This window comes from Homo sapiens, chromosome 19 (genome assembly GCF_000001405.40).
Source record: "Homo sapiens chromosome 19, GRCh38.p14 Primary Assembly".
Taxonomy (NCBI): Eukaryota; Metazoa; Chordata; class Mammalia; order Primates; family Hominidae; genus Homo; species Homo sapiens.
In genome coordinates, this window is record NC_000019.10 from 11,530,332 (window position 1) to 11,550,868 (window position 20,537).

The 20,537-nt window shown below is 52.9% G+C and overlaps 1 protein-coding gene across 5 annotated transcripts, besides 5 other annotated features; it reads left to right on the forward strand.

The window, feature by feature from the left end:
- Positions 5,618-5,687: a silencer, noted in NCBI's record as "silent region_10117". NCBI's record gives its function as "represses an Ori minimal core promoter by ATAC-STARR-seq in GM12878 lymphoblastoid cells {active_cell/tissue: GM12878}" and the evidence as "EXISTENCE:reporter gene assay evidence [ECO:0000049][PMID:35858748]".
- Positions 5,698-6,067: a silencer, noted in NCBI's record as "silent region_10118". NCBI's record gives its function as "represses an Ori minimal core promoter by ATAC-STARR-seq in GM12878 lymphoblastoid cells {active_cell/tissue: GM12878}" and the evidence as "EXISTENCE:reporter gene assay evidence [ECO:0000049][PMID:35858748]".
- Positions 7,491-8,436: an enhancer, noted in NCBI's record as "H3K27ac-H3K4me1 hESC enhancer chr19:11648637-11649582 (GRCh37/hg19 assembly coordinates)". NCBI's record gives its function as "activates a minimal SCP1, AML or CMV promoter by ChIP-STARR-seq in primed H9 embryonic stem cells {active_cell/tissue: H9 hESC(primed)}" and the evidence as "EXISTENCE:reporter gene assay evidence [ECO:0000049][PMID:30033119]".
- Positions 8,520-19,992, forward strand: CNN1 (calponin 1). Of its 5 annotated transcripts, none has more exons than NM_001308341.2 (8): positions 8,520-8,659; positions 8,964-9,238; positions 10,745-10,866; positions 16,344-16,410; positions 16,501-16,638; positions 17,466-17,576; positions 18,992-19,138; positions 19,219-19,992. In NM_001308341.2, the coding sequence occupies exons 3-8, from the start codon at positions 10,832-10,834 to the stop codon at positions 19,462-19,464; spliced, it is 744 nt and encodes a 247-aa protein (NP_001295270.1). In that variant the 5' UTR covers positions 8,520-8,659; positions 8,964-9,238; positions 10,745-10,831; the 3' UTR covers positions 19,465-19,992. The 5 variants fall into 5 exon arrangements, with proteins under 5 accessions (NP_001295270.1, NP_001295271.1, NP_001290.2 ...); NM_001308342.2 differs by having other exon boundaries at positions 8,964-9,229; NM_001299.6 differs by lacking the exon at positions 8,964-9,238.
- Positions 9,496-9,545: a silencer, noted in NCBI's record as "silent region_10119". NCBI's record gives its function as "represses an Ori minimal core promoter by ATAC-STARR-seq in GM12878 lymphoblastoid cells {active_cell/tissue: GM12878}" and the evidence as "EXISTENCE:reporter gene assay evidence [ECO:0000049][PMID:35858748]".
- Positions 11,210-11,329: an enhancer, noted in NCBI's record as "active region_14022". NCBI's record gives its function as "activates an Ori minimal core promoter by ATAC-STARR-seq in GM12878 lymphoblastoid cells {active_cell/tissue: GM12878}" and the evidence as "EXISTENCE:reporter gene assay evidence [ECO:0000049][PMID:35858748]".
- Positions 19,993-20,537: the final 545 nt, after the last annotated feature.

Below are 20,537 nucleotides of genomic sequence, written 5' to 3' on the forward strand. Positions count from 1 at the left end.
TAATGGGGGCTCCTGGTCTCCCCCAGAAAGCACCAGATTTAGGCTGTTAATAACTAAGGTGGATAAGCACATAAAATGGGCTATTGGCAATAACAGTGTCCCCCGGGAAGGAAGGCTATCTGCCCTCATAAGCCCATTTCTGCAGTCCCTCAGCCTCTGTGGCGCAGTGAGCTGGCATGGAGACTAGGATGCAAGAACCTACCCTTAGGATGCCTCAAGGACTCTGCGCAGCCGCAGGACATCCACCTCATCAGAACTCTTGTGATTGGGCAATCTGAGAAAACCTGTAGCCAATCAGCTGCTTGGCTGGAGCACTCCTCTCTGGCAAGTTGACAGGCACGTGGGCAGCGGCTGGGAGCGCTACTGCCCTCTGCCAGGCTCCCGCAGCTACAAGCAAGCAGAGTCAGCTCTGCTTAGCTGGGGAGTGGGTAAGATGATGGGGTCGCTGACCTGGCTGTGGCCTTCAGAGTTATTGGTGTCCTTCTCTTGAGGTGGTCATGGCTTTTGTTTTCTTATTTATCCTTCCAGAACTAGTCTTTTAATATTTTATTTTATTTTATTTTATTTTATTTTTGGAGACGGAGTCTGGCTCTGTCGCCCAGGTTGCAGTGCAGTGGTGCAATCTCAGCTAATTGCAACCTCCGCTTCCCACATTCAAGCAATTCTCCTGCCTCAGCCTCCCGAGTAGCTGGGACTACAGGCGCATGCCACCATACCCGGCTAATTTTTGTATTTTTAGTAGAGATGGAGTTTCACCATGTTGCCTAGGCTGGTCTCCAACTCCTGGGCTCAAGCAGTCCTCCCGCTTCAGCCTCCCAAAGTGTCAGAATTACAGGCATTAGCCACCGTGCCCAGTCATTATTATTATTTATTTATTTATTTATTTTTTGAGACAGAGTCTTGCTCTGTCGCCCAGGCTGGAGTGCAGTGGCACGATCTCGGCTCACTGCAAACTCCGCCTCCTGGGCTCACGCCATTCTCCTGCCTCAGCCTCCCCAGTTGCTGGGACTGCAGGCGCCCGCCACCATGCCCAGCTAATTTTTTTGTATTTTTAGTAGAGACGGGGTTTCACTGTGTTCTCCAGGATGGTCTGATCTCCTGACCCCGTGATCTGCCAGCCTCGGCCTCCCAAAATGCTGGGATTACAGGCATGAGCCACCATGCCCGGCCTATTATTATTATTTTAAAATAGAGATGGGATCTTAATATGTTACCAAGGCTTGTCTCAAACTCCTGGGGTACTGCGATCCACCCATCTTGGCCTCCTAAAGTGCTGGGATTATAGGCATGTGCCACCACACCAGGCCAGTAGTCTTTTAAAAACAAGTAGGTACAGGCCGTGCGCGGTGGCTCACGCCTGTAATCCCACCACTTTGGGAAGCCGAGGCGGGTGGATCACGAGGTCAGGAGATCAAGACCATCCAGCCTAACAAGGTGAAATCCAGTCTCTACTAAAAAAAATACAAAAAATTAGCCAGGCGTGGTGGTGGGCGCCTGTAGTCCCAGCTACTCGGGAGGCTGAGGCAGGAGAATGGTGTGAACCCGGGAGGCGGAGCTTGCAGTGAGCCGAGACTGCACCACTGCACTCCAGCCTGGGCGACAGAGCAAGACTCCATCTCAAAAAAACAAACAGACAAACAACAACAAAAAAACCAAGAATGTACATATTTTATGTACTGTATGTATTAACACAGAACACCATATGTGAGGCCCTGGTGCAGAATCTTTAACATTACAGTCCCAGAAAGAACCCTATAAAAAGTAGTAGCTTCACAGTGAAAGATCCTAGCAGACACCACCTTAACCAAGGGACCAACATTTATATCACCAGCAATGAGTCATGGTGATATCATGAAGCCCTTGGTATGACACACTTAGAAGGATACATCATCACCTCTCTGGTATTCTTCCTGGTAATGCAAACACCTCAGTTTATTCAAGACAAACCAAACTCGAAGACAGTCTACAAAATAACTGACCAGCACTCTTCAAAAGTGTCAAGGTCCTGAAAGACCCAGGGACTATTATAGACTGTAGGAATGTATGGAGATATGACAATTAAATGCAATGAGGGCCAGGCACAGTGGCACTGTAGTTCTAGCTATTTAGGAGGCTGAGGCAGGAGGATCACTTGAACCCAGGAGTTCAAGTCCAGCCTGGGCATCATAGTGAGACCTCATCTCTAAGATAGATAGATAGATAGATAGATAGATAGATAGATAGACAGACAGACAGACAGACAGACAGACAGACAGAAAGAAAGAAACGCAATGGGCCGGATGCGGTGGCTCACACCTGTAATCCCAGCACTTTGGGAGGCCGAGGCAGACAGATCACAAGGTCAGGAGTTCAAGACCAGCCTGACCAACATGGTGAAACCCCCTGCCTCAGCCTCCCATGTAGCTGGGATTATAGGCTCCCACCATTACGCCCAGCTAATTTTTGTAGTTTTTGTAGAGATGGGGTTTTACCATGTTGGCCAGGGTGGTCTTGAACTCCTGACCTCAGGTGATTCACCCGCCTCAGCCTCCCAAAGTGTTGGGATTACAGGCGTGAGTCACTGCACCCAGCTGGAGTCCCCACTCTTAACCACAGCGCTACAGTGTCTTCATTTAGTTGAAACAACATGCTATATGTTTTAACTTCAACTTTGTCTATCTCCCTTGTCCCAGGTTGATGGGATTTATAGTGATTTATTATGACAAGGCCACTGCAATAAATGTTCCTGTACATATGTCATTCTTCACACCTACACTTGTACTTCTGAGGAATATTCTAAAATAGAGGATATACTTGTTCAGAAGGTAAGGACATTTGTCATTTGGGAAACTATCAACAAATTGCCCACACTCATCAACAATGTTCCCACAGCCTCCTCTGCGTTACATGTTGTCAAGCATTCTTTTATTTATTTATTTATTTATTTATTTATTTATTTATTTTTTTGAGACAGAGTCTCGCTCTGTCGCCCAGGCTGGAATGCAGTGGCACGATCTCAGCTCACTGCAAGCTCTGCCCCACAGCTTGACGCCATTCTCCTGCCTCAGCCTCCCAAGTAGCTGGGACTACAGGCGCCCGCCACCACGCCCGGCTAATTTTTTGTATTTTTAGTAGAGACAGGGTTTCACCATGTTGGCCAGGATGGTCTCGATCTCCTGACCTCGTGATCCGCCTGCCTTGGCCTCCCAAAGTGCTGGGATTACAGGCGTGAGCCACCACACCCGGCCGTCAAGCATTCTTTTCTTTTCTTATTTATTTATTTTTCACCCAAACTAAAATGCAATGGCATGGCTGGACACAGTGGCTCATGCCTGTAATCCCAGCACTTTGGGAGGCCAAGGCAAGCAGATTACCTGAGGTCAGTAGTTCGAGACCAGTCTGGCCAACATGGTGAAACCCCATCTCTACTAAAAATACAAAAATTAGCCCGGTATGGTGGTGGGCACCTGTAATCCCAGCTACTCAGGAGGCTGAGGCAGGATAATTGCTTGAACCTGGGAGGTGGAAGTTGCAGTGAGCTGAGATCATGCCACTGTACTCCGGCCTGGGTGACAGAGTGAGATTCTGTAAAAAAAAAAAAAAAAAAAAAAATAAGCAGTGTCATGATCATAGCTCACTGTAGCCTCCAACTCCTGGGCTCAAGCAATCCTCCTGCCTTGCCCTCCCAAAATGCACTTTTTTAAAAAGCTCTCTCTCTTTTTTTTTTTTTTGTAGAGGCAGGGCCCTGCCATGTCTCCCAGGCTGGTCTTGAACTGCTGGCCTCAAACAATCTGCCCATCTTGGCCTCCCAAAGTGCTGGAATTACAGACACGAGCCACTGCACCCAGACTATAAGTGAACAGCTCCCTCCCTGTCCACCCACTCACAGTCAGTCTGGGGGTGAGAGATGCTATTATTTTACAGCAGGTGGTCAGGGAAGGCCTCTCTGAGAGGTGATATTAGAGCAGAGACTGAATGAAGTTGGGGAGAGGCCATGCAGGCATCTTGCAGAAATGTGTTCCAGGTGGCAGGAACTGCTATTGTAAAGACCCTGAGGTGGGAACATGTTTGGGGACTCAAGAAACACATCTGTAGCCCAGCGTGGTAGCGGGTGCCTGTAATCCCAGCTACTTGGGAGGCTGAGGCTCCAGAATTGCTTGAAACCAGGAGGTGGAGGTTGCAGTGAACCGAGATCATGCCACTCCAACCTGAGCGACAGAGCGATACTCTGACTCAAAAAAAAAAAAAAAAGGAGAAGAAGAAGAAGAAATAAGGAGAAGGGAGAAGAGAGAAGGGAGAAGGGGAAGAAGGAGAAGGAGGAGGAGAAGGAAGAAAGAAGAAAGAAGAAGAAGGAGGAGGAGGAGAAGCAGCAGCAGAAGAAGAGGAAGAAGAAGGAGAACAAGAAGAAAAAGAGGAAGAGGAAGAAGAAGAGGAAGAAGAAGGAGAAGGAGAAGGAGCAGCAGCAGCAGCGGAAGAGGAAGAGGAAGAAAAGAAAGAAGAAAGAAGAAAGAAGGAGAAGGAGAAGGAGAAGAAAGAAGAAAGAAGAAAGAAGAAGAAGAAGAAGAGGGAGAAGAAGAAGAAGAAACAGCACATCTGGAGGGACTTGGAAGAAAAGGTACAAACAGTGTTACCTGGGAGGGTGGCTTGGCTTCTCTGAACCTTGAGTTTCCCATCTATAAAATGGACCTATGAGTTTCTACCCTCAGAAGGTGATGGTGAGGATTAAAAGAGATTGTGGCTGGCATGGAGTGAGTGTTCCCATAACAGAAGCCTTTAGGAACAAGAGCCTCTGCCAGATTTCTGGATAGGAAAGCTTCGTGAGGAGGGAGCTTGCAGAGCAGGATGCCAAGATAGGCCGGTGCAGAGCAGGGCTTTGACTTTCCCCAAAACACACAGACAAACACGTGTGAGTGTGGGTTTTATTTTTATTTTTACATTTTTTGAGTCAGAGTCTCACTCCCGTGGCCCAGGCTGGAGTGCAGTGGTGTGATCTTGGCTCACTGCAACCTCTGCCTGACATGCCGGGTTCAAGCAATTCTCCTGCCTCAGCCTCCCGAGTAGCTGGGATTACAGGCATGTACCACCATGCCCGGCTAATTTTGTATTTTTAGTAGACACGGGGTTTCACCATGTTGGTCAGGCTGGTCTTGAACTACTGACCTCAGGTGATCCACCCGCCTTGGCCTCTCAAAGTGCTGGGATTACAGGCGTGAGAAACCACGCCCGGCCAAGTGTGAGTTTTAAATGGTTCTGAGCATCAGGAAGGTTTTAGGGGGTCCCCTGAAGTTGAGGAGAGGCATGGCTTTCCTACAATGACTGTCCTAGACCCTTCGGGAAACCGTGCCTCTTACAAGATCCTACACTTCTCATTTAGATGGTAAACTGAGGCACAGAGGGGCTAGAGCCTGGAAAATGCCAGAAAGGAGCGAATAAGGGATGACACTCGGGTGTCTACTGGGATTGGGGCCTCGATATGGGATCAGCCCCCTCTAATGCCTCTACCCCCATCTACCAGACAGAGACGCGAAGAGAGACGGACAATACAGCGACAGCGACATGAAGAGAAACAGAATGACTCAAAGACCAGGCACAGAAACAGAGACACAGAGACAAAGGCAGAGACAGAAAAAGGCTCAGCGACCCAGAGACGGAGATACAGAGACACAGACCTACTACAATCAGAGGGACAAGGCAGTCCCCGAAAGGGCTGCCCCCTGGGGGTACCCGGGGCTGCCCCGTTGGGGGGCACGCCAAGAGCTCCCCCACCCCGCCCCCGTCGTGCCTGGGCCGTGACTTCAGAGTCCGTGCAGATTCTATAAATGGCCAAGAGGCCGCGGGCCGGGGGGCGGGGCCGAGTGAGTCATCGCGTGACGTCACCGCCGCCTGGACCTCGCCAGGTCCCGCCCCCGCCCCTCCCGGGCCGCCAGGGGGCGCCGGCTGCAGGTCCTCACATGCGCAGTAGCGAACTGCGGCCCCCGAGGGCCGCTCAGTTTGGGAGGGATCCAGGAATCTGCGCGTTCGAATCCCGCCCCTGCCACCCTCGAGCTGTGTGACCCGGCCATTCGGCGTCACCTCTCTGTGCCTCGTATAGACCCACCTCATAAGGCTGTCGTGAGGAATGAGTTAACAGGCTCAAAGCTCTTAGTACGTAGCAGGTGCTAATTGTTAGCTCATTTTATGTACTTTCTATTTTTTCTTTTTTTTTTTTTTAAATAGAGACGGGGTCTCGCTATGTTGCCTAAGCTGGTCTCGGGTCTCGAACTCCAGGGCTCAAGCGATCCTCCCGCCTTGGCCTCGTATTTTATGTATTTTCGTGTATGTTCAACATATCATGACATGCCATCAACTAGCACATTGCCTTAGCTCAGTGGTTGGCAAACAGGGGTGATCTGCTTCCACCCCGACCCCAATCATGGGACATTGGCAATGTGTGTAGACATTTCTTCTTTTAATTTTTCTTTTTTAGAGACCATGGTCTTGCTATCTTGGCCAGATGGTTCTCAAACTCCTGGGCTCAAGGGATCCTCCCACCTCAGCCTCCTTAGTAGCTGGGACTACAGGGTCCTGCCGCAGTGCCTCAACATTTCTGTTTATTAGGACTAAGAGAGTGCTACTGGCATGTAGCAGGTAGAGGCCAGGCATGCTGCTTGAAGTCTTACAATGAATGCCCAAGGCAGCCCCCCAACCATGAAGAATTATCCAGCCTCAGCTGTCAACAGTGTGGAGGTTGAGAAACCCCACCTTAGCCTCATAGTTGAGGTTCATGGAGCATGGTCTCAAATTCTCCTCTGCCCCTGGCCTGCTGTGTGACGCTGAAAAAGTGATTCCAAGCCCCCGTGCCTCAGTTTCCCCACCTGTAAAGCAAAGTACTTGTATTAATAATAACAGTGTCAGCTGGGCACGGTGGCTCACGCCTGTAATCCCAGCACTTTGCAAGGCCGAGGTGGGCAGATCAACTGAGGTCAGGAGTTCGAGACCAGCCTGGCTAACATGGCAAAACCCCGTCTCTACTAAAAATACAAAAAATAGCCAGTCGTGGTGGCAGACACCTGTCATCCCAGCTACTTGGGAGGCTGAGGCAGGAGAATCGCTTGAACCCAGGAGGTGGAGGTTGCAGTGAGCCGAGATAGCATCACTGCACTCCAGCCTGGGGAATAGAGACTCTGTCTCCAAATAATAATAATAATAATAATAATAATAATAATAACAGTGTCCATCTCTGAGGGCGTCATGAGAATTGAATGGATATATGTACAGAGTTGGAACATGGCCTGACATAAGGGCTGTAGTCTGTGGCATATTGCAGCCATGCCATTAGCATGTGACCGATAAACTGCATATCCTCAACATATCATTAGTGTGTGGCAGGTTGCAGACATGTCATCCAAGTGTCACAAACATGGCCTTGCCATGTGGGGCATGATGTGGGCATAGCATCCACCCCTGTGGTCCAGGGGTGAGATCTGGCTGGGTAGGGCTGTTTGACAGGGACACAGTTCACGGCCTGGGACTTGCCAACAAAGTCACCCTGTAGTTCAGGTGACACACAAGTGGATGGGGAGGGTGAGACCCAGGATCTCTTCTCCCCCAGGTCCTTATGAGGGGCTGGAGGAGACAGAACTGGGGTGCTGGACCCTCAGCATAAAGAATGCTATAGGCTGGGCATGGTGACTCATGCCTGTAAATCCCAGCGTTTTGGGAGGCCAAGGCGGGCAGATTGCTTGAGCCCAGAAATTTGAGACCAGCCTGGGCAACATAGCGAGACCCCGGGCAACATAGCGAGACCCCATCTCTAAAAAAATAAAATAAAATTAGCCAGGTTGGTGGCACAAGTCTGCAATTCTAACTACTTGGATGGGCTGAGATGGGAGGATCACTTGAGCCTGGGAGGTCAAGGCTGCAGTGAGCTGTGATTGTGCCACTGCACTCCAGCCGAGGGGACAGAGTGAAACCTTGCCTTAAAAAGACTGCTATGGCCCGAGTCCCTCTGCTGTGCCGGGCACTGTGCTGGGCATGTAACAGGCATATTCTTCTGATCTTTACAACTCTCCCATGAGGCAGGCACTATCGTTAGCCCATTTTACAGATGTGGCCATAGAGGCCCAGAGAGGAGAAGGGGCTTACCTAAGGCTATAGACTGTTGGTATCTGGAGATAAACCCGGGATGGTGCTCACTAAACTACCTTGGGTGTCAGTCCTGCTTCAAGACTCCAGAGAGATAAAGAGAGATGACCTCAGAGACAAAGAGACTCAGACCCAGCCAGAGGCCCAATGGACAGTGGGAGGGGTGGGTGGAAGAAGGCTGGTCTCTGTCTGACCAAGCCCCCCCAGAATAACGCAGGCTGCCCCCCTAGGTGGAAACAATGACACAATCAGCTCCCAATACCAAGGGCCTGACATCACAAGGGGAGGGGAAGGCAGCTGAGGTTGTGGGGGGAGGTGCCCCGCCCCTTGGCAGGCCCCTACAGCCAATGGAACGGCCCTGGAAGAGACCCGGGTCGCCTCCGGAGCTTCAAAAACATGTGAGGAGGGAAGAGTGTGCAGACGGAACTTCAGCCGCTGCCTCTGTTCTCAGCGTCAGTGCCGCCACTGCCCCCGCCAGAGCCCACCGGCCAGCATGTCCTCTGCTCACTTCAACCGAGGCCCTGCCTACGGGCTGTCAGCCGAGGTTAAGAACAAGGTAGGGCTGGAGGGCCTCCCTGGCCTGGCCCACACGTCCTGCCAGGCCAGAGCCCTGAGCTTGGGGTCCCTTGAACCCCCTCCTGCCTATCCTATGTGACTTGGAAACTGAGAGGGGAAAAGGGAGTGATATGGGATAGGGGCTGCCTGTCTCCCCCTGAACATCCCGGAGCCCCCAGCTATGGTTGGGGCTGGAATGGGGGGGCACACAGCCACACATAAACAGAGGGGGTCAGTCCATTGCAAAGATACCCACCTGATCAGTCTTCTGTTAACCCTTCGTGTTCTTGGGGGGAACAACATAGGGGGAAGACTTGTTGATTTTTCCATATCCCCCGGCCTGACAAAGAAATTGGGGAGCGCTTGAGTGCTGGGGTACCTGGGAAGTGACGCCGTGAAAGTGTGGGAGATCCTGAAGACAGAGGGGGACGGTGAAAGGCAGGAAGCGGGCATCAGAAGTGCGGCAGGGGTCTCCTGACTGTGGAGCTAGGAAGATACCTGGACACCACCTTCATGCTATGGTTGGGTAAACTGAGGTTCGGAGAGGAGAGGCAAATAGCTGGGGTCCCAGGTAAAGCAGGTACAGCGCTCGGACCCTGGACTCACCCCCCATACACCAGGATGGGCTCAGCTTCTCCCAGCTGGAGAACTTTAAGTTTCCAGCCCACTGGAATCGCCCCAACAGTATTGCCGAGGGAGGAGTTCCTGCCCCATTTGACAGAGGGGAACACTGAGGCTCAGGGTGGCTTTTCCCAGGGTCCCATGGTGAGGAAGTGGGGGACTGGGTTGGAACCTGGGTCGAGGGATCTCGGGGCTGGAGGAGGGGGCTGGTGGGGGGCGGGTCCTCGGGCGAGAGACAGATCCCAGCGCCGCCCTCCTCCCCCCCAGCGCCGGCCCCAGAGCCGCGCAGAGCCGCGCAGAGACGCCGCGCCTTATAAGGCGGCCTCGGGGAGCCCGGGCCACGCTATATAAGGGCCGGTTTGCTTTATAAAGCCGGGCTGGTGGCGTGGGGGGCGGCAGGGCCAGGGCCAGGTGAGGGGGCCGCCCCTCCCACCTCCCCCCACTCACCCGGGAGAAGAAGAGGCAGCCCGGTCCCCTAGGGGCTGGGAGCCTGGCTGGGCTTGGGCGGAGGGTTCTGGAGAAATGGGAGTGGAGTGGGGGAGGGGGGGGACAGTGGAGAGAGGGAAAAGCAGGGAGGTGGGGGGAGAGGCAGACAGAGATACTGGGAGCCTGAGACACCCTAGGGACAGACGGGGGAGGGCGAGCCAGGAGCGAGATAAGACCTAGACAAGGATGGAGGGGCAGGGAGAGGAGACAGAGCCCCACCACCCCCACCCCAGGCAGGAAACCTGGAGACAGAGAAAGACCTAGAGAGGCAGATATACAAGACCCAGGAGCCCTACCCCTGGCCAGACAGGGACTAGCCACCTAGAGAGATGGGGACCCAAGACTGGGCCAAGAAAAGACAGCGCTGGGGAAGAGAGAGACAGAGGAGTCGGGGGGATAAGAGGGAGAGAGACATACAGACGTGCAAGGGGTGGGGGCTAAGACAGAGACAAGCCCCCACCACTAACCAGAGACAGAGCCCTGGAGCTGAAGACCTGGGGGACACGGAGAGACAGAGATGTATGACCAGCACTCCTCTGCAAGCCAGCACCCAGGGACACCTCCTTAGACATCCTTCTTCCCTTCCTGAGGTGCCCTCTCTTCCAACAGGGGGCACAGAGGGGGCAGGGCTAGAGGAAGAGAAGCCCCAAGTTTGGCCTGGGCGAAAAACCAGGGTGCCGGGTGCCACCCCTCTAGCTCAGAGGATCCAGCTCCCCACACCCCACCCCTCATCTACATTCCCTGGTGCCAAACCTCAGAATGCCCGGAATGGCCCCCTGGGCAGGTGCCACCTCAGCCCTGGCTCTCAGCCCGCCCCAGCCCCCATCCCCCAACTATGGATCTGGGGCAAAATTGCCTTAGTTGGGAAGGACGAGGGAGATCAGGCTCTAGGAAGTTCAGACAGGACCCAGGGAGCCCAGGCTGCCCCCAATGCATCCTCACCCCTTTCTCTGTGCCCCCTGCCCTCCCCTCGCCCCAGCTGGCCCAGAAGTATGACCACCAGCGGGAGCAGGAGCTGAGAGAGTGGATCGAGGGGGTGACAGGCCGTCGCATCGGCAACAACTTCATGGACGGCCTCAAAGATGGCATCATTCTTTGCGAGTGAGTGAGGCTCTCGAAGCCGAGACCCTGCAACATCCCCCAACTCCATGCAGCCCCTCAACCCCCAAAACAACCATGATCCTGGAACTGAGTTGAACACTTTCTATTGGATACCTTTGGGGTGGCCAGTAATCATTGTGCCCATTTAACAGGCACAGAAAACTGAGGCTCAGGTGAAATGCATTGCACCAAGTCCCACGTGGTTTCAAGGGAAATGACTCTAGAATCTTAACCACCATGCTATATAGGGTAGGCCCATCTGTGGCCGCCAGAGTCCCCAGAAAGAGCGGTCACAGCTAAAAGGCAGCAGCCAACAGCTGTTCATGGCTGGCTTGGTGATGTGAGGAGAGATGTGCAGCAATAATTAAAGGAGGCCCTGGTTTTCTTTCTGTTTTCTTTTTGTTTTTTTGAGATACAGTCTTGTTCTGTTGCCCAGGCTGCAGTGCAGAGACACAATCTCGGCTCACTGCAACCTCCGCCTCCAGGGTTTAAGTGATTCTCCTGCCTCAGCCTCCCCAATAGCTGGGATTACAGGCACGCACCACCATGCCTGGCTAATTTTTGTATTTTTTTAAAGTAGAGATGGGGTTTCACCATGTTGGCCAGGATGGTTACGAACTCCTGACCTCAATTGATCCACCTACCTCAGCCTCCCAAAGTGCTGGGATTACAGGCACGTGCCACCATGCCCGGTTAATTTTTGTTTTTTTTTTTTTTTTTTCAGTAGAGATGGAGTTTCACCATGTTGACTAGGCTGGTCTTGAACTCCTGACTTCAAGTGATCCACCTGCCTTGGCCTCCCAAAGTGCTGGGATTGCAGGCACATGCCACCACGCCTGGCTAATTTTTGTATTTTTTTTTTTTTTTTTTAGTAGAGACAGTGTTTCACCATGTTGACCGGGCTGGTCTCAAACTCCTGACCTCAAGTGATCCACCTGCCTCGGCCTCCCAAATTGCTGGGATTACAGGCATGAGCCACCTCGCCCGACCTTCTTCTTCTTCTTCTTTTTTTTGAGATGGAGTCTTCCTCTGTCACCCGGGCTGGAGTGCAGTGACATGATCTCAGCTCACTGCAACCTCTGCTTTCCGGGTTCAAGTGATTCTTGTGTCTCAGCCTCCTGAGCAGCTGGGATTACAGGTGCCCACCACCTTGCCCGGATAACTTTTGTATTTTTAGTAGAGACGGGATTTTGCCATGTTGGCCTGGCTGGTCTCGAACTCCTGACCTCAAGTGATCCACCCGCCTTAGTCTCACAAAGTGCTGGCATTACAGGCATGAACCACTGCACCCTGCCGGCCCTGGTTTTCTCCTCGCCTCAAAACCTCATTGCTGAGGGAGGTGAAAACCCTAACAGCTCCCAAGCCCCAGTTCCACTGCAATCTTTTTTTTTTTTTTCAGATGGAATCTTGCTTTGTGACCCAGGCTGGAGTGCAGTGGCATGATCTTGGCTCACTGCAAGCTCTGCCTCCCAGGTTCAAGCAATTCTCCTGCCTCAGCCTCCTGAGTAGCTGGGATTACAGGTGCCCGCCACCACGCCCAGCTAATTTTTGTATTTTTAGTAGAGACGGGGTTTCACCATGTTGGTCAGGCTGGTCTCGAACCCCTGACCTTGTGATCCACCCACCTCGGCCTCCCAAAGTGCTGGGATTATAGGCGTGAGCCACCGCGCCCGGCTCCACTGCAATCTTAATGCATAGCAGGGCCCTAAACCCAGCCTGCGCCCGATCTGCATTTGAGTCTGACCCAGGGCAGAGTGACTGTGAGTGGCCTCGGGAAGACTTTGAAGGTGCAGCTTCATCAAGTCCTAGATGCTGGGAAGAAGGGGTGTGGGGGGTGTTTACCTTGTTCCATTCCCATCCACTAGGAACAAGGAATTGGCAGGTGGGGAGGTAGGCATGCTGGTGTCCCAGCTCAGGCAGAGGACTGCTCAGACGTCAAACAGTGCAGTCCCAGCCTGGGCAACATAGCCAGATTCCATCTCTACAAAACATTTTTGTTTTAATTAGCTTGGCATGGTGGCATGCGCCTGTGGTCCCAGCTACTCGGAAGGCTGAGGTGGGAGGATCGCTTGAGCCCTGGAGGTCAAGGCTGCAGTGAGCTATGATCGCGCCACTGCACTCCAGCCTGGGCAACAGTGAAACCCTGTCTCAAAAAAAAAAAAACTAATGTAAACGACAAGTTGATGGGTGCAGCAAACCAACATGGCACATGTATACCTATGTATCAAACCTGCACGTTGTGCATGTGTACCCTAGAACTTAAAGTATAATAATAATAATAATAATAATAATAAAAGAGTGGGCCGGGCGCGGTGACTCACGTCTGTAATCCCAGCACTTTGGGAGGCTGAGGCAGGCGGATCACGAGGTCAGGAGATCAAGACCATCCTGGCTAACACGGTGAAACCCTGTCTCTACTAAAAAAAATACAAAAAATTAGCCGGGCGTGGTGGCAGGCGCTTGTAGTCCCAGCTACTCGGGAGGCTGAGGCAGGAGAATAGCGTGAACCCGGGAGGCGGAGCTTGCAGTGAGCCGAGATCCCACCACTGCACTCCAGCTTGGGTGACAGAGCGAGACTCCGTCTCAAAAAAAAAAAAAAAAAAAAAGACCTAATGTAAATGACGAGTTGATGGGTGCAGCAAACCAAAATGGCACATGTATACCTATGTATCAAACCTGCACATAGTGCACATGTACCCCAGAAGTTAAAGTATAAGAAAAAAAAAAAGAGTGTAGTGCAGTCACCCACGCACTCCGGTCATTCACTCATTCATTCATTCATTCATTCACAAAAGAAGCATTTATGAGTTCCTGCTGTGTGCCAGGCTCTGGCCTAGGCACTGGGAACAGTGAACAGAACAGACTCGACTCAGAGCTCAAGGACTTTTAGTCCAGTTGAGGAGATCAATCATATAATTGATCAAATAATCACAGATTTGTGGTCGTAAGTGTCCTGGGGAAAACTCAAGCGGAAGGGAAGATGGGAGGGTCAGGTATATGTCTGCGGGTGGAGAGTCTGCAGTTTCCTAGAGAGTGGTCTGGGAGGCCTCTCTGAAGAGGTGACATTTGAACAGAACCTTAGATGAAGTGAGGGAGGGCTCAGGGGACCTGAGGCAAAGCAGAGGGGGCCACCAGTGCAAAGGCGTGAGGTAGGATCGTGCTTGGGGTGTTCAAGAAACAAGAAGGAGGCTGGCGTGACGAGCACCAAATGATTGAGCAGAAGTGGAGATGAAGTCGCAGAGTGAACTGAGAGTCAGATGGTGGAGGGCATTTTATTTCATTTATTTATTTAGAGACAGAGTCTTGCTCTGGTGCCCGGGCTGGAGTACAGCGGTGCAATCATAGCTCACTACAGCCTCGACTTCCTAGGCTCAACTGATCCTCCCACCCCAGCCTCTTCAGCCCCAGCCTCCTCAGTAGCTGGAACTACAGGCACACATCACCACGCCCGGTGAAGTTTTCGGGTTTTTTTTTTTTTTTTTTTTGTAGAGACACGGGTCTCACCATGTTGCCCAGGCTGATCTGAAACTCCTAGGCTCAAGCCATCCTCCTGTCTCGGCTTCCCAAAGCACTGGGATTACAGGTGTGAGCCACTGTGCCCAGTTCTACAGAGGGCATTTTAGGCAGAGGACTTAGGATTTCATTCTGAAGGCAATGGGAGGCTCCTGGAGGATTTGGAACTGGACGGTAACTTGAACTGTTTAAAAAAGGCCATTCTGGGCCAGGGGCAGTGGCTCATGCCTGTAATCCCAGCACTTTGGGAGGCTGAGGTGGGCATATCACTTGAGGTCAGGAGTTCGAAACCAACCTGACCAACATGGTGAAACCGCGTCTCTACTAAAAATACACAAAATTTAGCTGGGCATGGTAGCAGGCACCTGTAATCCCAACTACTTAGGAGGCTGAGGCAGGAGAATTGCTTGAACCCAGGAGACAGAGGTTGCAGTGAGCCGAGATCCCGCCACTGCCTTCCAGCCTGAGTGACAGAGCAAGACTCCATCTCGGAAAAAAAAAAAAAAATTCTGGCTGCTGGATGAAGAAGGGTGGGTCTGTAGGGGATGAAGTGGAAGTTGGGAGCTCATTACAAGAGGCCAGGAAACAGACTCTGGTGGCTGAGACCCAGGTGGAGGTGGCGGGGAGCAGTGGGTGGTTTTCTGGACTCATTAAAAGGCAGAGCCAAAGAACTTTGGAGGGACTGGACATGAGGCTGAGAGAAGGAGAAAGGGGGAGTTGGGGGCAAGTCCAAGGGCTCTGGCTGAGCACCTAGAAGGGGGCACTGCTAGGCAGGGAAGGTGGAGGGAGGGGGGAGTCTGGAGGGGGAAGCTGCATGTCAGGAGTCTGGAGCAGGGTGAGTTTGATTTGAGACACCCAGGCACCCATGGAGAGAGCTGAATGAGATGGTAAGAAACCCAAGCTGCAGGGAGATGAGGGAGTTGCTGGCATATGGAGGCACTTAAAGTCAAGACACTGAATGAGGCCAGGTGCTGTCACTCATGCCTGTAATCCCAGCGCTTTGGGAGGCTGAGGCAGGAGGATCGCTTGAGCCCAGGAGTTCAAGACCAGCTTGGGCAATACAAATACAGTGAAACCCCCTCTCTACCAAAAAAAAAAAAAAAAAAAAAGCCAGGCATGGTGGTGCGCACCTGTGATCCCAGCTACTCGGAAGGCTGAGGTGGGAGGATCGCTGGAGCCTGGGAAGTTGAGGCTGCAGTGAGCTGTGATTGCACCACTGCTCTCCAGCCTGGGCGACAAAGCCACACCCTGCATCAAAAAGAAAAAAAAAAGAAAAGAAAAGAAAAAAGAGGCGAGATCATTAAAGGAGTGAGTCAGAGAAGAGGCCCTTGTGGGCTTCCTGCTGTCTACAAGAGAAAAGGATGCTGAGACACGCCTGCCAGTGAGGCTTCGGAGATCCCAGAGACTCGGACACACCTTGGATAAGCAGGCTTTCTGACTGGGACCTGAGTCTAGCTCCTTGGCATCAGTGTCCCATTTGTGTGTGTGCTTGGGTGGTTTGGAGGGGCTGCAGCTGAGAGCTGACTGCAGGGAGAAGTGACGCTAGGGTATGGCATGGCCCCTTGTGGTCATCCCGTCACCCTCCTCCTGCTGGGCTGGGCTGGAGAGCGGGAGTGGGGGACACCTTTCTTTCTTTTTTTTTTTTTTTTGAGACGGAGTCTCGCTCTGTCCCCAAGCTGGAATGCAGTGCTGCAATCTCAGCTCACTGCAACCTCCGCCTCCTGGGTTCAAGTGATTGCCTCAGCCTCCTGAGTAGCTGGGAGTACAGGCATGTGCCACCACGCCTGGCTAATTTTTGTATTTTTAGTAGAGATGGGGTTTCACCATGTTGGCCAGGATAGTCTCGCTCTCCTGACCTCGTGATCCACCCGCCTTGGCCTCCCAAAGTGCTGGGATTACAGGCGTGAGCCACCGTGCCCAACCCTGGGGGGACACCTTTCTTACCCCTTCCCCACTCTTCTCAGATTCATCAATAAGCTGCAGCCAGGCTCCGTGAAGAAGATCAATGAGTCAACCCAAAATTGGCACCAGGTGAGCCCAGACACAATCTCTTCCATCCTTGCCCGCAAGCCCCTCAGACCTCCCCTCCCCACCCAGTGACCACCACCTGCCCCCCTCTAGCTGGAGAACATCGGCAACTTCATCAAGGCCATCACCAAGTATGGGGTGAAGCCCCACGACATTTTTGAGGCCAACGACCTGTTTGAGAACACCAACCATACACAGGTGCAGTCCACCCTCCTGGCTTTGGCCAGCATGGTGAGTGTGGTTGCAGGCTGGGCAGGGGGTGGTGGGCAGCCTGGGCTGGGATGCAGGTGTGGCCACTTGTGCTCCTGAGCCCAGTGAAGGTGGCGGAGCGGGGGGCAGGGATCGGGGAGCAGGTGCTGTCAACAGCGTCCAAGGGGGCCGGGCGCGGTCGCTCACACCTGTAATCCCAGCACTTTGGGAGGCCAAGGTGAGCGGATTGCTTGAGGCCGGGAGTTTGAGACCAGTCTGGCCAACATGGTGAAATCCCGTCTCTACTAAAAATACAAAAATTAGCTGGACGTGGTGACGCATGCCTGTAATCCCAGCTACTCAGGAGGCTGAGGCAGGAGAATCGCTTGAACCCGGGAGGCGGAGTCTGCAGTGAGCCGAGATCGTGCCACTGCCCAGCCTGGGTGACAGAGCCAAGACTCCGTCTCAAAAAAAAAAAAACAAAAAACAAAAAACAGTGTTGGCCGGGCACGGTGGCTCACGCCTGTAATCCCAGCACTTTGGGAGGCCGAGACAGGTGGATCACAAGGTCAGGAGATTGAGACCATCCTGGCTAACATGGTGAAACCCTGTCTCTACTAAAACTACAAAACAAAATTAGCCGGGCATGGTGGCAGGCGCTTGTAGTCCCAGCTACTAGGGAGACTGATGCAGGAGAATGGTGTGAAGCCGGGAGGCGGAGCTTGCAGTGAGCTGAGATCACGCCACTGCACTCCAGCCTGGGCAACAGAGCGAGACTCTGTGTCAACAACAACAAAAAAACAGTGTCCAAGGGGACTGTGCAGCCTGGAGGCCCCCTTGTCAGTCCCTGCTTTCCCTGCCCCACCTAGGCGAAGACGAAAGGAAACAAGGTGAACGTGGGAGTGAAGTACGCAGAGAAGCAGGAGCGGAAATTCGAGCCGGGGAAGCTAAGAGAAGGGCGGAACATCATTGGGCTGCAGGTACCGCCCTGTCCTCACTGCGCAGAGGTCATAGAGGCCAGGAGGGCACCCTGATGTCTGAAGGCTTTTGGGGACAGGATATTTGGCATTAACTATACTATAGGCCGGGTACTGTGCTTATGCTCATCTTCCATTCACAAACTCACTCACTCTGCCAACACCCCAGCAGACAGGTGCTTGTTATCAACATACCCTTTCCGCAGATGAGAAAACTGAGACCCGGAGAAGCTGGCTCGCTTTTGCACAGATCTTCCAGCTGATGCGTGGCAGGCTGGAACTTCAATGCTAGAAGTCAGTCATGTGATAGGCCCACTCTGGGCCTCAGTTTCCAGTCTCGAAAGGATGCCTCAGGCGGGGTGCAGTGGCTCACACCTGTAATTCCAGCACTTGGGGAGGCTGAGGCAGGAGGATTGCTTGAGGTCAGGTGTTTCAGACCAGCCTGGGCAAAATAGAACCCCCCTCCACCGCCATCTCTACAACAAATTTAAGAGTTTAGCCAAATGCAGTGGTGTCTGCCTGTGGTCCCAGCTACTTAGGAGGCTGAAGTGGGAGAATCACTTGAGCCCAGGAGTTCAAGGTTACAATGATTGCATCACTGGACTCCAGCCTGGGCGACAGAGTGAGACCCTGTCTCTAAAAATGAAAATGGGCTGGGTATGGTGGCTCATGCCAGTAATCCTAGCACTTCGGGAGGCCGAGGCAGGCGGATCACTTAAAGTCAAGAGTTCAAGGCCAGCCTGGCCAACGTGGTGAAACCCTGTCACTACCAAAAATACAAAAACTAGCCGGTGTGGTGGGGCACACCTGTAGTCCCAGCTACTCAGGAGGCTGAGGCAGGAGAATTGCTTGAACTCAGGAGGCAGAGGTTGCAGTGGGCCAAGATTGTGCCGCTGCACTCCAACCTGGGCGACAGAGTGAGATGCTATCTCAAATAAAATAAAATAAAACAAAAAAATAGAATAGAACAAAATAAAATATAAAAATAAACTAAAAAATGGGCCAGGCACAGTGGCTCACCCCTGTAATCCCAGCACTTTGGGAGGGTGAGGTGGGTGGATCACCTGAGGTCAGGAGTTCGAGACCAGCGTGGCCAACATGGTGAAACCCCATTTCTACTAAAAATACAAAAAATTATCCGGGCATGGTGATGCCCACCTGTGATCCCAGCTACTCCGGAGGCTGAGGCAGGAGAATTGCTTGAATGTGCAAGATGGAGATTTCAGTGAGCTGAGATCATGTCACTGCACTCCAGCCTGGGCAACAGAGCAAGACTCCGTCTCAAAAAAAAATAAATAAAATAAAATAAAAATTGAAAAAAATGATAAAGCGGCGCCTCATCCTCTCCCATCAGCTATGCCTCATGGCCCATGATGAGGTCTGTAATTATTGGTGTGATTCTCCTTCTGGCTTCCTAGATGGGCACCAACAAGTTTGCCAGCCAGCAGGGCATGACGGCCTATGGCACCCGGCGCCACCTCTACGACCCCAAGCTGGGCACAGACCAGCCTCTGGACCAGGCGACCATCAGCCTGCAGATGGGCACCAACAAAGGAGCCAGCCAGGTGAGTGGGGGCCCCCGGGACACGCCGTCAAGGCCCAGGACCCTGGCCACCCCACGGCCTGACCACACCACCCTTCGCAGGCTGGCATGACTGCGCCAGGGACCAAGCGGCAGATCTTCGAGCCGGGGCTGGGCATGGAGCACTGCGACACGCTCAATGTCAGCCTGCAGATGGGCAGCAACAAGGGCGCCTCGCAGCGGGGCATGACGGTGTATGGGCTGCCACGCCAGGTCTACGACCCCAAGTACTGTCTGACTCCCGAGTACCCAGAGCTGGGTGAGCCCGCCCACAACCACCACGCACACAACTACTACAATTCCGCCTAGGGCCACAAGGCCTTCCCTGTTTTCCCCCCAAGGGAGGCTGCTGCTGCTCTTGGCTGGACCCAGCCAGGCCCAGCCGACCCCCTCTCCCTGCATGGCATCCTCCAGCCCCTGTAGAACTCAACCTCTACAGGGTTAGAGTTTGGAGAGAGCAGACTGGCGGGGGGCCCATTGGGGGGAAGGGGACCCTCCGCTCTGTAGTGCTACAGGGTCCAACATAGAGCCGGGTGTCCCCAACAGCGCCCAAAGGACGCACTGAGCAACGCTATTCCAGCTGTCCCCCCACTCCCTCACAAGTGGGTACCCCCAGGACCAGAAGCTCCCCCAGCAAAGCCCCCAGAGCCCAGGCTCGGCCTGCCCCCACCCCATTCCCGCAGTGGGAGCAAACTGCATGCCCAGAGACCCAGCGGACACACGCGGTTTGGTTTGCAGCGACTGGCATACTATGTGGATGTGACAGTGGCGTTTGTAATGAGAGCACTTTCTTTTTTTTCTATTTCACTGGAGCACAATAAATGGCTGTAAAATCTCCTGAGGCCTCAGAGCTGCTCTGTTTTAGATATGCGCCATATCCCGCACACACATCTGCACGGACACACATGCCCACATGCACCCTAAGACGTACATACACACTCACACGCACCCTAAGACACACACCTCACTGTAGCCACTCAGCTAGACACAGGACAGGCACCCCATCACACTCACATGCAAAGTCCACACACACACACACACTCCCCCCTTTCACACACAGATATGCACACACAGGCAGTACACACTCCCTACGACATGTAAAAAAGGCATAGCCAGCCGGGCACAGTGGCTCATGCCGGTAATCCCAGCACTTTGGGAGGCTGAGATGGGAGGATCACTTGAGGTCAGGAGTTCGAGACCAGACTGGCCAACATGGTGAAACCTTGTTTCTACTAAAAATACAAAAATTAGCAGGGTGTGGTGGCGCATGCCTGTAGTCCCGGCTACTTGGGAGGCTGAGGTAGGAGAATCACTTGAGCCCTGGAGATCTAGGCTGTAGTGAGCTGAGATGGCGCCACTGCATTCCAGCCTGGGCAACAGAG